We start from the raw sequence: 15,159 nt of genomic DNA, 5'->3' as shown, positions 1-15,159 counted from the left end.
AGTGTCGCCTCCACTGGCTTTCACTCTCCTTTCCATGCTGGCCACCGGCGTCCCTCCACCTCCCTGGCCCGCCCCTCCCATCTGCCTTGAATATCCCATCATCTCCCAGGCGTGCCACACAGACTCCAAGTAGTGGTCACCTGCACAGAGACCATAGTTTTTGTCCTCTGTCCCATCAGTGCCAACCCAGGGCAGGTGGAGCTTGAGCCTCATTTGGGAGGAGGGCAGATGGGAGGTGCTGGTGAGGTTTGGGAGCTGAGTGCTTGCTCGGGGTTTGGGGGGATATTGAGAGAAGGCTGGCAGGTGTCTGGGCAGGGTCTGGGCTGCCGCACATTGGATGTCACCCCTAGTGGGGCTTGGCTGATGTTTGGAGAACCATGTGCTTGACAGAGGTGCAGGGGCTGGTGGGGTGAGGGGCTCAGGGCTGAGCAAGAGGAAGAGGGTAGCCCTCACAGACGCGGATTTATTTGCTGCCATTGTCCATTTCAAAGACCGAGTCTTTTCTTGATACGGTGCCGTCCTGTGGCTGTGTGGGGCAGTGCTAGCCAGTGTGAAGCGCGTTCACCTGGGTGAGCTGCACGGGTGGCCGTTGCGTCCTGCTGCCTGGCGCTGCCTACTCTGACCTGGTGACCCTTCCTGTTGTGCCCTTCCAGCCAGCTGGGGCTGGACACCAGAGCTCAATGCCCCCTGGGGTGGTGCCTCCCAAGGGCTGGGCCACAGGGGACCCTGGAGACGGTGCCCCATCGTCAGGGAAGCATAGGGCATAGGTGGCGCATTTTCCTTCCTGCACGTATCAGAAGACCAAGTCCAGAGATGAACGTTTGTTGCTGGGGAGGGGGTAGGCAGGGGGAGGTCGAGTCAGCCTTGGTCTCCCCATCAGTGCTCAACACTCCAGAATCATCATCTGCCTATGGCAGAAGCAACAGTGTGTCTGCAGTTGCAGAGGGACTCGCAGCCAGGACGCCACTGTGGCCACCTCTGTCCACACTCCGCCCTGGCTCTGAACACAGTGAGTGTTCACTGGGGCCCGCCTGTGGCCGCCCCTTTCCGGGAGCTCAGAGGAGCAAAGTCCCCGTGCAGGACGCCACCTGCACTGTCCCGGAGGAGAGGGGCCTCATGTAAGAAGATACACAGAGGACGGTGGATTACCGGGATCCATGGCTTCCGTGTCTAGGGCCGGGTCCTGTCAGCGGTGCCTGAGCACAGCCTCCCGTGTGGGATTAGGCCTTTCCTGCGAGCGCCAGATACTTCTCTCTCTTGCCTGAGGTTATTTGATGGAGGAAACCAACCAGTTTTTACTGTGTCTTCAGGCGTCCATTAGGAGGTCTGACGGGGCCACACACTAGGATGTGTTAGCAGAGATTATGAGCACCAGCCCGAGAAGGAGACAGTACTGCTGCTCCGTGACTTAGTCTCCGAGTGGCAGCTCTGACAAACCCAGGTGCAGAGGCCTCCTCTGGAGTGCACCTGAGCTGGGGGCAGGACCAGTCAGGTTGGGAGCAGTGTGGGGGCCTGGAGGGGTGGCGGGGGCCAGCTTGAGGTCAGGAAGACAATCTTCTGGGGGCTGGTTCCTCTGCTCTCTGGGCCTCCACTTTGTCTCCAATGTCACCTCTGGTCCTGTCCTCCAGCAGCCACCTTGGGGGTGACCTTGGGCCACCAGGGAAGGTTTTGGGGAAGACGACAGGCTCAGGGTGGGAGGGGACCCCCAGGAGGAGGAGGCGTTGGGGCTGGACGATGAGGGGTGTCCAGGGCCATGACCAGTTGAGAGGGGCTCAGGGCTGGGGCTGCAAGGGTGATCTTGAGGGTGGTGGGTGACACTGCCGAGGGAACCCCCCTGCACACGCGTCCCTGCCTGCCTTGGCTGATGCAGACGGTCATCCCCCCTGCCCCGCCCAGCTGTGTCCTTGCCCCAGCACGCTCCATTTACCTGCCACACCACCTCGCTGGTTTTGGTTTTTGCATTTTTGGGGATGATGAAGAAAACATACTTGAAAAAATTCAGCATACAGCAGTCTGGAGAGGGTGGAAGCATTGGTGCGGGCCATGCCGCTGCTGCCCACCCTCCTCTCTTCAGTCTCGTTCTCTGTCCCCCGCCCTCCAGAGTGGCTGTGTCTCTGAGGTGTGGGCCACCTGCATTTTAGATCTGAGCATGATCTCCCGGGTGTTGCCTGTCAGAGTGGCCTCCTGCACTGCCTCCACGTGCAACCTGCGGGGACCCTTCCCCCACCCACCAGTGTACAGGGCCTGGGAGCTGCCAGGCTGGTGGAGCAGTCAGGGTCCCCACAGGAAGCAGATGGGGTGCTCCAGTGGGACCAGCCCTGGAAGGGTTATTTACAAAGGGCTGGGCAGGGCATGGGGCATCCATGAGAGGCGGTGTGGGACCCAGGGCTGGAGGCAGTGCCAGCGGAGCTGCGATGGCCCTTAGTCCTAGAGCATCAAGGGAAAGGGCAGATTGGAGCCCAGAAAGAAGGGGTCATGGTCAGAAGCCACAGGAGAGGGCTGCGGACCACCCAGGAGGGGCACAGCTAACCAGGGACCCTCCTGACACCCCTCCCCTCCCTCACTCTATCCTCCCGTCTGGCTCCCCACTGGCCAAAGCCACCAGAAGCCATGGGGTAGGGAACCCTCCCAGGCAGGGAGCAGGCAGAGTCTGTTTATTTTTCCTTTCTGCCTGATGACATTTTAGACGAGAAGGTTTATTGGTCTAATTCACCTTCAGCAAAACCAAAGGGTACATTGGAGTCGGACGTTTTTCCAGGACGGTCTTTTCAAAGGCAGGCACTTGTACATTTGTGTGGCGCTCCGCCAAGCACAGATGAACAACACAGCCCCCACGCCCACAGCCACGCCGGGAGGTTTGGGGCCGAGTGGAGCATTTTCAGTCGTTGCTTCACCCCAGGCTGGTTTTTTGTTTGTTTGTTTGTTTGTTTTTTCCCTCAAGGCTGGTTTGAAGGTGTGTCCACAACTTCAAAAGGGTGGACATGCCTGACGGAAAACGTTCTCCCCACTTGAGAATCGGTTTTGCCCTCATTATGCTTAAGTGTTTGCTGCTCCTCCATCGCCCTCGGCATCCTGGGTGTTTGGGAAGTGTGGGGAGAAGCTTATTCCCCACGGAGACAGTGCTAGGGAGGGGCCGTCTGGAAGGATGGGGATCCTCGGGGCTGCACTGAGCGGGTCATTCCCTTACTGTGCTTCCCTGAGGCTGCCTGCGGGGATCACGTTTAGACCCCACCTTGTTCCAGGAGCTCCTGGCAGGGTCGGGGACACAGACGTGCCAGCAAGATGTTTAACGGGGCCCTGGGGAAGCAAGGGTGGCTCGTGTCCACCTGACCTGGGCATCTTCTAAAGCCAGCTGAGCCTGCCCAGAGCCTGGAGCACAGTCTCCTGGCCAGCTGGGGAGGCAGGGACATGCAGGGGAGGTAGTGCCTGACATGGACACCAGGCAGTGTGGCCCGCTGGGGACCCGTGAGTGAGCTGTGCAGTGAGGCAGTGAGGTGGAGCGCCAGGAGGCCCAGAGCTGCTGGGAGATCCCGCATGAAGCAGATGTGGGAGGCGGTGAGCAGCCGCGTCAGGATTTCCCACCTGGGCACTGCCGCCCCTTGGGGACGATGACCCTTCATTGTGAGGCCTGTTCTGGGCAGCATTCCTGACCTCTGGTCACTAGACTCCAGCTGTTCCCCTAACCCGGTTTTGACAACCAAGAGGTCTTCATCATTGTCAGGCCCCTGAGGTCATGCCCTGGATGAGAACCACTGGGCTAGTGAGACGGGAGCTCAGCTAGCGGGAGTCCTGGTAGCTTCAGGTGGAGATGCGAGACCCTGGGCCGGAGCTTGAGGCAGCAGCCTCTACGTGGGCAGCAGGTGGTCTCCAAGGGGCACTCGGCATCCGTCACCTGGCCGGGGACGATGCTGTGCTGGTCGCGATCGCCATGCTGGCCACGGGTGGCTAGACCACACGCAATGAAGCCCCATGCCTGAGCTGGCTGCTGGAGTCCTTGGGACTCTGCCTCGGCAATTTGGCTTCCTCTGGTTCTGGTGATTCTGAGATGGCGCGGGGCTGTCTTTGGCATGCTGCGGAAAGTGCTTTTATAAAGACAGCATGAGGCCCGGTTGCAACAAACCGGAGGACCGGCCTCTGCTTCTGTTGAGCAGAGGATGTAAGTGCTTTGAGATTTCCATGACCTTGAGATGACCGCTAGGTCCTGCTGTCATTAGGGATTGCTCACCTGTTGCTTGTCAGGTCATTCAAAACCTCTTGGGTCTGTGCTGCACATTAAACCCCAGAGTCCCAAGGAGAGTGGGAGATGTACCCCCGGAGCACCCCTGGGGTCGGGGGAGCTTCTCCGTTTCTGCACATGTTCTAAAAACTCGAGGACTTCCACCCAGACACTTGGGTCAGGGTGAGGTTTTTTGATGGGACCCTTTCTGGGCTCTACAGATCTGCCGTGGTTAGACAGTTGTGTGGTCCCCTGGGTGAGGCCACGTAGCCTTCCCTTTCCCTCCCTCCTTCTCTCCCTTCCATGTTAATTGAGTGCCAATTACACGCACAGAATCCAACTTACAGAAACGAACTTGGAAGGTATTTAATAGAATATAAGGTCCTCCGACAGCGGAACGTCAACAACCATTGCCAACAGTGCGGTGGGGTTCTGTGCGGTGATGAGGGGAGGAGCTCCCAGGATCTTGTTACTAGATTTTAAAAGCCATAGTTGTAGGGTGTATTTTATTTATTTTATTTTTGAGATGGAGTCCCGCTCTGTCGCCCAGGCGCCTTTGTTGCTGTCTTGGCTCACTGCAACCTCTGCCTCCCAGGTTCAAGCAATTCTCCTGCCTCAGCCTCCTGAGTAGCTGGGTTTACAGGTGCGCGCCACCACACCCGGTTAATTTTTGTACTTTTAGTAGAGATTGGAGTTTCACCATGTTGGCCAGGTTGTTTTCAAACTCCTGACCTCAGGTGATCTCCCTGCCTTGGCCTCCCAAACAGTTAGGATTACAGGCATAAGCCACTGCACCTGGCCGAGCCTGGTTCTTTTAGTGGAGGGTGGCATTTAGAAATCCAGATCTGGGTGCTTGGTGTGCTCATTGCTTTGGGGTGTCTCACTCCCAGTCTCTCTTACTGGGCAGAGCTAGGACATAGACGTCTGTGTAGGTGTGTGTGTGTGTACATATATACATGCACACACACTTCATATTGATCTTTTTTTCCTATTTATCTATCACTCCCTATTGGAAGCCATGAACTTCACTGGAGCACTGCTGCGTTTGCTCTGCTCTGCACATTCACATCCCCCTGATGCCGTCCCAGCCCATTCGTGCTGCCTGGTAACAGAACACACAAGGCTGGGTACTTACAAACCACAGAGATTGATTTCTCTGAGTCCTGGAGGCTGGAAGCCTGAGCACCTGCAGGTTTGGGGCCTGGCGAAGGCCCATTCCTCATAAATGGCAGCGTCTGGGGTCCTCACATGGCGGAAGAATGCAAGACAGTGGACCCACTCCCATGGGCCCTTTTATTGAGGCCCTTATCCCATTCTTGAGGGGCTCACCCTCATGACTTTACCACCTCCTAAAGGGCCCATCTCTTGAAACCATCCCATTGGCCATGAAGTTTCAACACGTGAACTTTGGGGGACACTTCAGACCATAGCACCCCCAAATTGCTATATTGAAATCCTCACCCCCAAGGTGATAGTATTAGGAAGTGCAGCCTTTGGGAGGTGATCAGGGTCTCCCGCGAGTGGAATGAATGTCCTTATAAAAGAGCCCCAAGACCGCCCCTCACCCCTTCTGTCATGTGAGGATGTGGTAAGAAGGTGTGGTCTAGGAACCGGGTGGCGAACCCTTGCCAGACGTTCAATCTACCAGCACCTTGATTTTGGACTCGCAGCCTCCAGAACTGTGAGAAACAGATGCATGTTGTTTACAAGGCGCTCAGCCTCTGTTACAGCAACCCAAGCAGAGTTAGAGGTCATTCTTGTTGTTTTTCCTCTTCTATATGTGTAACTCTTTACCAGTTAGAAACCTTGTTCTCATTTTCCTCAGTATAGTTAGTGATTTTTCTCAACCTTCCATTATCTAAACAACCTTCCAACCTCACCAGGCTGCAGCTTCACTCAGCCCCCTCCCCGGCTGCGCCCTCCCCAGCCTTGCTGCTCTGCCTCACTCAGCCCTGATGGTACTAGCCGACTCCAGCAGTTGGAGATGGGTCTGCATAGAGACGTGACTGAAATATTTCATTATTCAAAAAAGAAGGGAGGAAGGGAAGAAGGAAGGTTTTTAAAACAAATTTAAAGGGAATAAAAATCCAAAATAACAAAAGCTGTGGGCTGCAGCTAAAGCAGTGCTGAGAGGGAAATGTATAGCACTAAATACTTACATTAGAAAAGGGGGATGTTTCAAATCAATAATCTGAGCTTCTGCTTCAAGAACCTAGAATAAGAACAAAATAAACCCAAAGCCAGCAGAAAGAAGGAAATAATAAAGATAAGAGCAGCAGTCAGTGAAATTGAAACAGCAAAACAATAGAGAAAATCAATGAAACAAAGAGCCGATTCTTTAAGATTAACAAAATCTTTTCAAAGCGGGGGAAAACTTCTAGCGTGACTGATAAGGAAAAGAGAAGACAAATTGCCAATATCAGGAATAAAATAGGCTTTGTAGATGTTAAAAAGGGTAATAAGGGAATAATTAATAAAAAGAACTCTACATGTGTACATTTAAAACCCAGATGCACGGACCAACTCCTCAAAAAACACAAACTACTACAACTCACCCAAGATGAAGTCAGTCCTTTGAATGGCTGTATACACTATTGAGGAAATAGAATTTGTAGTTTAACATTCCCAAAAAGGAAATCTCCGGGCCCAGATGGCTTCACAAGAGAATTCTAACAAATATTTAAAGAATTACATCAATTCTGCAACATCTCTTCCAGAAAATAGAGAGCACTTCCCAGTTCAGTTCATGAAGCATTACCCTCATTCCAATACCAGATGAAGACAGACTAAACAAAACCACAGACCACTGTTCCTCATGAATATAGATGTGATTCATGTTGACACAGAAACCTGCACACAAGTGGTACAGCAGCTTTTCATAATATCCCCAAATGGGAGACAGCCCAGATGGCCGTCACTGGGTGAATGGTTAAACAAACTGGTATGTCCGTACCATGGAACAGGGAATACTTCTTAGCACCAAACAACTTCTCACTCTGCTGAGTGGGAAAAGGCAACCCCCAAAAGGACCATACTATGTGATTCCGTTTGTATGACATTGTGTTTTTTTGTTTGTTTGCTTTTCAGACAGAGTTTTGCCTTGTATCCCAGGCTGGAGTGCAGTGGCACGATCTCAGCTCACTGCAACCTCCACATCCTGGGTTCAAGTGATTCTCCTGCCTCGGCTCCCAAGTAGCTGAGATTGCAGGCACACACCACCATGCTCGGCTAATTTTGTATTTTTAGTAGAGAAGGGGTTTCACCATGTTGGTCAGGCTGGTTTTGAACTCCTGACCTCAAGTAATCCACCCATCTCGTGCTTCCAAAGTGTTGGGATTACAGGCATAAGCCACTGCACCTGGCATTTATGACATTCTTAATACGACAGAATAACAATGGAAAACAGAGTAGTGGTTGCCTGGGATTGGGCTGGGGACAGGAGGGAAGTGGGTGTGGCTGTGATAGGACACAGGCAGGGTCCTTGTAGTGATGGAACGTTCTGTCTGGACTGTGTCAGTGTTTGTACCTGGGTTTGATATTATACTATCTTTTTGCAGGGTGTTTCCATGGATGGAAACTGTAAGGGGTACATGGGATATCTCTGTATTATTGTTTTACAATTGCATGTACCTCTAAAATTGTCTCAAAATAGAAAGTTTCATCAAAATAACTTTCAGGCCAGGTGTGGTGGCTCACGCCTGTAACCCCAGCACTTTGGGAGGCTAAGGTGGGAGGATTGCTTGAGCCCAGGAGTTCAAGATCAGCCTGGGCAACATAGGGAGAATACATCTCTTCAAAATACAAAGTAAAAAAAAAAAAATTAGCCGGGTGTGTGGTGCATGTGCCTATGGTCCCAGCTGCTTGGGAGGCTGAGGTGGGAGGATTACTTGGGCCTGGAAGGTCGAGGCTGTTGTAAGCCATGATTGTACCACTGCACTCCAACCTGGGCGAAAGAGTGAGACTCTTGTCTTAAAAAAAAATTTTTTTTTAAGATTTACAATGTTTGCTGGTATATACATATGTTTTTCTGAAGGATAACCCTATGCTCTCCAAAACAACAAACTTGTGTTTTTTTTCTTTGTTTGTTTTGAGATGCAGTCTCACTCTGTCACCCAGGCTGGCACAATCTCGGCTCACTGCAACCTCCGCCTCCTGAGTTCAAGCCATTCTCCTGCCCTCAGCCTCCCAAGTAGCTGGGATTACAGGTGCGCACCACCACCACGCCTGGCTAATTTTGGTATTTTTAGTAGAGATGGGATTTCACCATGTTGGCCAGGCTGGTCTCGAACTCCTGACCTCAGGTGATCCAACTGCCTCAGCCTCCCAAAGTGCTGGATTATAGGCGTGAGCCACCGCACCCGGCCCATACTTGTTAATAGTGCTCATCGGATAGCTTTTTCAAGGTCATAAACTGCCTAAAGCATGGAGTCTTTTTTTTTTTTTTTTTCTGAGACGAAGTTTCGCTCCTGTTGCCCAGGCTGGAGTGTAAAGGCGCGATCTCGGCTCACCGCAACCTCTGCCTCCCAGGTTCAAGCAATTCTCCTGCCTCAGCCTCCCGAGTAGGTGGGATTACAGGCCTGCACCACCACGCCCGGCTAATTTTGTATTTTTAGTAGAGACGGGGTTTCTCCATGTTGAGGCTGGTCTTGAACTCCTGACCTCAGGTGATCTGCCCCCCTCGGCCTCCCAAAGTGCTGGGATTACAGGCGTGAGCCACCGCGCCTGGCCAGCATGGAGTCTTGATCAGATATTTATTATTCCTGGTGATGCAGTGGTTTGGCTGCTGGTTCTTCTGGTCTATGCGATTCAGCCAGGGCTGTGTGAAGGCCTCACTCATATGACCTGGCCGTTAGCCATGGCAGCTGGGGCCTCTCATCTTCCAGCAGGCCACCCTGGCCGTTCACTTGGTGGCAGGGGGTTCCTAGCAGCCAGAGAGGGCGAGTCCCAGTGCACGGTGCTTTCCAGGCCTTATCTCGTGTCCTTGTGCCCTGATGTCCTGTTGCCCAGGTCATGTGGCCAAGCCCAGCCTCTAGGTAGAGACATGGACCATTGGTGGCAAGAGCCAGGAGGTGGCATTGCAGAGGCCAGACGTACAGTGCAGGAGGCATCATCGTGGCCCTTATAGCAAAGGTGGATACCAATGGGAAGAAGAATGCAAAGTGAGGTGGATTTCGTGTTCCTTTTATGCCCTTCTGTGCCTTCTTACATGCACTTGAGTTCTTTGTATTTAAAAAAACAATATAGCAGTTATCTGGGTCATGGGACTATGAGCCATTTTTTTTTTTTTTGAGATGGAGTCTCGCTCTGTCGCCCAGGCTGGAGTGCAGTGGCGTGATCTCAGCTCACTGCAAGCTCCACCTCCTGGGTTCACACCATTCTCCTGCCTCAGTCTCCTGAGTAGCTGGGACTACAGGCGCCCACCACCATGCCCGGCTAATTTTTATTTATTTATTTATTTATTTTTTATTATTATTATTTTTTTTTAGTAGAGACGGGGTTTCACCGTGTTGGCCAGGATGGTCTCAGTCACCTGACCTCGTGATCCGCCCCCCCTTGGCCTCCCAAAGTGCTGCGATTACAGGTGTGAGCCACTGCGCCCGGCCCTGGTTTTTTCTTTTAAATATTCTGTTTAAAAAAATCATTTGAGGGCCAGGCACGGTGGCTCACGCCTGTAATCCTAGCACTTTGGGAGGCCGAGGCAGGCAGATCACTTGAAGTCAGGAGTTCAAAACCAGCCTGGCCAACCTGGCAAAACCCCATCTCTACTAAAAATACAAAAAAATTAGCCGGGCGTGGTGGCAGGTGCCCATAATCTCAGCTACTCGGGAGGCTGAGGCAGGAGAATCTCTTGAACCTGGGAGGTAGAGGTTGCAGTGAGCCAAGACCGTGCCACTGCACTCTAGCCTGGGCGACAGAGTGAGACTCTGTCTCAAAAATAAAACAAAAAAAATAAACAAAAAGATAATTGGATATACAGAATATGTAAGATAAAGAAGCTAAACTTTTACAAAGTTAATTAAGCCTTGCAAAGTATGTAAAATCCTTATGATAAAGGAGGTGGCCATGCAGGCTGGTAATTTTGCCCTCAGGGCCTTGTTGGCTTTGATTCTGTCTCATAGGAAGTTCCGTGTTTAAGAGGAGGGGATGGGGATGCTCCCCAGGTGTTCCGTGGCTGCGTGAAAGGTCACGCCCTTCGTGAGCTTCCCTGGCTTCTCCAGCCCCAGCAGGTGTTCTGTCAAATCCACTAGTGGGGCCTCTGCTAAGGCAGTCTGCACGTGCTCCCATCAGTTGGTGAAGTCGGCGGCCACTGCCTTTACTTACCCTGCATCTCGGACTCAGGATGTTCCTGCCTCCTTGAGCCCAAGTGATGGGGGCATAGAAGCCGATAGAGGGGTCTTCAGGTGGCTAGCGAGCTCTGCCAGAAAGGTGGTGCAGGGCCCTGCTTGCAGGCGCTGTGGCAGGTGGGGGCTGCCCCGATGCTGCTATGTGATGTGACAGATAAGTCACTTGGTTTCCGTTCCCAAACACAGGCCTGGTCAGGTGGTAGAAAGTCACCTGCTATGGAAACGTGGTGATTCTCGGAGGCAAGCGCCGCCCCACCCTGGGCCTTTGTGTTACAGAACCCTGTTATGGAAAGTCGCCCCAGGGCTGGAGCAGCCCTCAGTTTCACGCCCGGCTGAGGTTGCTTCCTGTCTGGCATCATAGCCACTGTCCTCCAGCAGCCTCTGTCTCACCCCCATCCTTCCCACCCCACCCAACCCCTCACTGCTGGGGCTCTGAGATGCACTGTGCCACGGCTGCCTCCCTCCCCTCTCTGGGCTCCTGGCCTTTCCCGCCTCTACCCCCCCAGCACCTCGGCAGGGAGGGTGGTGGTGGCTGAAGTGTACTGGCTGATGTCCTGTCTTGTGCCAGGCTCATGTGTGTCCCCCACGTGATCCTCATGTTAGCTCCTGGAGGAGGAGGTGCTGTTGCTGTTTCACAGATGAGGAAACTGAAGCACAGAGTAGATGATGGGAGGGCCGGGTTTAGGCGGAGCCATGGACCCAGCATCTCTCACCCACCCGTGTATCCGCTGCTCTGGGACGTGCCATCCGAGGGCTGTCGCGTTTTCCTGCCGTGACCATCCCCGGCCCCCACCTTCTCCCTGTCTTATCCAGGCGCTTCCATGCTCTGTCCCCCAATTCAGCCCTCTCCCCACCTTCACCTTATCACACAGATACTGAGCATGTCACCCCTTAGTGGGATGCAGGCCAGGAGGGAGGGAGGCTGGTCAGAAAGGTCATCAGGGCAAGAAGAGGCAGGGGGACTAAGGAAGGGGGTCCCGCGGGCCCAGATCGAGGACAGAGAGGGGACTATTAGGTCTTTACAGGAGCAGGCCATGACTTTGTATGAGCATGTGTTAGTGTGCAAGACTGTGTGCAAGGTGAGTGTGTACAGGTGAGTATATTGTGCAAGCATGAGCACGAGTATGGGTGAGCATGTGTGCACACAAGTGTGTGCTAGTATATCTGTGTGTGCACATGCAAGTATGAATGATGTGAGTGGGTGTGTCCACGTGTGCACACGTGTGAGTGCATACGTGAGTGGGTGAGTGCACCTGGGTGAGTATGCATGTGTGTGGGTGTGTGCACGTGTGTGAAGAAGCACACGTGTAAATGTGTGGGTGAGTGCACATTTGAGTGGGTGAGCATGCACATGTGGGTAAATGTGCACATGAGTGCACGAGTGGGTGAGTGCATACGTGAGTGCACATGAGTGGCTGAGTGTGCATATATGAGTGCACGTGTGTGGGCGAGTGCATTTGAGTGTGGGTGAGCATATGTGGGTGTGAATGTGGGTATGTACGAGTGTGGGTAGGTGTGCACATGTGAGTATGAATGAGTGCACGTGTGGGTGAGGGCACATTTGAGTGGGTGAGTGTATATGTGAGTGTGAATGTGGATGAGTATGCACGAGTGTGGGTAGGTGTGCACATGTGAGTATGAGCGCACGTGTGGGTGAGTGCACATTTGAGTGTGAGTGTCGGTAAGTGCACGTGGGTTTTGAGTATGCACATGATTGTGGGTGAGTGTACATAAGGGTGAGTGCACGTGTGCGTGGGTGAGTGTGCATGAGTTTGGGTAAGTGTACGTGTGAGCGTATGAATAAATGCACATGAATGTGAGAAGGCACGTGTGGGAGTGCACATGTGGGTGTGAATGCGGGTATGCACGTGAGCGTGGGTAAATGTGCACGAGTATGAGTGCATGTGCATGGGTGAGGGCGCATTTGAGTGTGAGTGGTGAGTGTGCACGTGTGGGTTTGAGTATGCACGAGTGTGGGTGAGTGTACACACGTGAGTGTGAGTGGGCGAGTGTACACATTTTTGGTAAGCTTTTTTGCTTGCTCAGAAAAGTCATTTTCGAGGGAACTGTAGCCCACCTGCCATCCTTCCTGAAGTTTTCTCCTGTTTTTCCCGGGACACTCAGGCTACTGTGTTGTGGGGGCTGAGCTCAGAGGCCCCATCCCAGGCACTCTGTCCCGGTGCCCGTGTGGAGGAGGCAGGCCCCGGGAGGCTGCAGCTCGGAAGTGTGCGTTCCTCCTTGTCCCGCTTGTCAGGATTTCTCTAGCTGGGAGTAGCATTAGGATTGAGATGCCTCCCACCCATAGAGGAACATGAGTGAGCTTCTTGTTGAGTGCTTGAGGAGGGTCCCTCAGGTTGTACCAAGCAACTTTTTGCCTATAAAATCCCCAAGAGAAGGAACGTGTTGCTTTCCAAGAAGGCGCTGTATCTCACTGCATTTTGGCCCTTCATTTGTCATTGGCAAGAAGACCCCCCTCTGAGCAAATCCCCATATAATTCCCAGGCTCCCAAAACACCTGGGGGAGTAGCCTGGCCGCAGAGGTGACCTGGTCCCGATGGCTGAGCCCCAAAGGAGCAGGGCTGAGATGGCCCTGGCTTCCTCCCATGGAACTGGGGGCTTTGGTCCAGGGTCTGGCTCAGTGGGGGCTGGCACGGTGCCCTGCTGGATCATTTCCAGAACAAAATTAACTACCACGGGGATCATGGAGCTCTGTAGGAGGAGCTTATCTCCGTCCAGTGCTGAACACGCATGCCCAGGGGACTCCTGCCTCCGGACCCACGGTTCTTGTGTTTCCAAATGTACTGTATACGTCCATCAGGAAAGCACAGAGCTCCTCACTTTTGTCTTTGGCCAGAATCATCGGGGAAACGGGTTAGACCCCCTTGCCTGAGAAATAAAAGGCTTTGTGTGATTTCTTTAAGAATCTCTAGGTGACCGGTTGGTTCTGACCTTTGTTGAAAACTTTTCTAATGCTCCCACAATAAGCCTAATAGCACCGTGCATTACTTTCTTGGATAGTTGAATAAATGGAGGAAATGGCGGGCCAGTGCCCGAACTCCAAGCTGCAGGTGGCTTTGCGTCTTAGCTCCTGGAGAAGAGCCTGCGGGTTCAGCGGAGAGGCTAATTGCACGAGTTGCTTACTTGCTGCTTTTTTCTTTAAAGATGTAAAAATCAACTTTATGATTTTATGTTATATTTTATTTTAATTTATTTATTTATTTATTCTGAGGCGGAATCTTGCTCTGTCGCCCAGGCTGGAGTGTAGTTGTACAATCTCGGCCCACTGCAACCTCCGTCTCCCGGGTTCAAGCGATTTTCCACCTCAGCCACCCAAGTAGCTGGGATTACAGGCCCCCACCACCATGCCTGGCTAATTTTTTTTGTATTTTTTCAGTAGAGATGGGGTTTCACCTTGTTGGCCAGGCTGGTCGCAAACTCCTGACTGCAAGTGATCCGCCCACCTCGGCCTCCCAAAGTGCTGGGATTACAGGCGTGAGCCACTGCGTTCAGCCCCTGTATTATGTTATTTTAATATAGGGAAGTATTAAAACAGCAAAACTTGAGAAAACCACTTGCATGTTATTTTGCTTTTCTTCACATCTTTTCAAGAAGTAACAATAGCAGGCATGGCTGCAAGCACTTCACACATGTCATTCATGTCGTCCCACGAGGAAGATGCTATTTTTACCCCCAGTTGTACAGCCAAGTCCTGGCATGCAGGGAAGTCATGTGACTTTCCCAAGTAGGGGCAGGATATGGACCCTTGGCTTTAAGGAGGTGATGTCCATTGGATGCTGTGGACACTGCTGTCCTGTGAGCCCCCCGCCGGCCTTGGGCCCGCCCAGCTGGACTCTGAGTTGAGAATGAGGATGATAGTAATATCAGCCACGCCAGCTCAGACACTGCACAGTTTCAGATCCGTCCTTTCATTTCATTCCCAAACAGCCCTAGAGATAGCAGCTATGCACTTACCCCCTTTCTAGAAGAGTCTGCCTAGGCTCATAGAGTATGTCTTCTGCCCCAGGTCCCTGGCAGGTGAGGGATTCAGGAGCACCTGTCCCCCTCAGCCAGAGTTGGGCAGAGGAACTTGAGTTCCCCTTACAACCTGGGATAGTGTGGAGCTGCCCTCCCCACCCGGTGGCCCAGTGGCTCAGTTGGGCTTCCAGACGGTTTGCTGCTGACAGCCCTGGGGGAATACCGCACCCTTCGAGCCAGGTCATCAAAAGCAGCCGGCAGCCCCTGTGTAGAGGGTGGCTACCTGGCGGAACAGGGTCCTGTTACCTGCCTAGGGGTATTGGGACCACCAGGAAGTAGCAGCTCGGTCTGAGGTTTGCATTCTGGCAAAGTCCTGTCCGAGGCTCCTGGGAGGCCAGTTTGAATTCTGGAAGGCTGCGTGCATCTGCGTGAATTTGCTCCTCGTGACCCTTCCCACCACTTTCCCAAGCAGCTTCGGAGAACTGCAGTGGCTGCCTCCGAGGGAGAGCTTGTCGTCTCCATGCCAGAACTGGCACGGGGTCTTGCCCACATTTCCTGGGGCATTTGTCGGCCAGACAGGCCTGAACTTTGTCATCTTGAGAAATGACAGCATGGAACGTTCAG

General features: G+C 52.9%; 1 protein-coding gene across 6 annotated transcripts in view, besides 1 other annotated feature; it reads left to right on the top strand.

The window, feature by feature from the left end:
• The window catches only part of CELSR1 (cadherin EGF LAG seven-pass G-type receptor 1), a 176,447-nt gene that overhangs the window by 105,350 nt on the left and 55,938 nt on the right, over positions 1 to 15,159 (top strand). The window lies entirely within an intron of this gene.
• Positions 10,948 to 10,997: a silencer, noted in NCBI's record as "silent region_13911". NCBI's record gives its function as "represses an Ori minimal core promoter by ATAC-STARR-seq in GM12878 lymphoblastoid cells {active_cell/tissue: GM12878}" and the evidence as "EXISTENCE:reporter gene assay evidence [ECO:0000049][PMID:35858748]".

The sequence above is a fragment of the Homo sapiens genome, chromosome 22, assembly GCF_000001405.40.
Source record: "Homo sapiens chromosome 22, GRCh38.p14 Primary Assembly".
NCBI lineage: Eukaryota > Metazoa > Chordata > Mammalia > Primates > Hominidae > Homo > Homo sapiens.
Note: the sequence above shows the minus strand (reverse complement) of the source record. Positions and strands in the feature narration are given on the sequence as shown.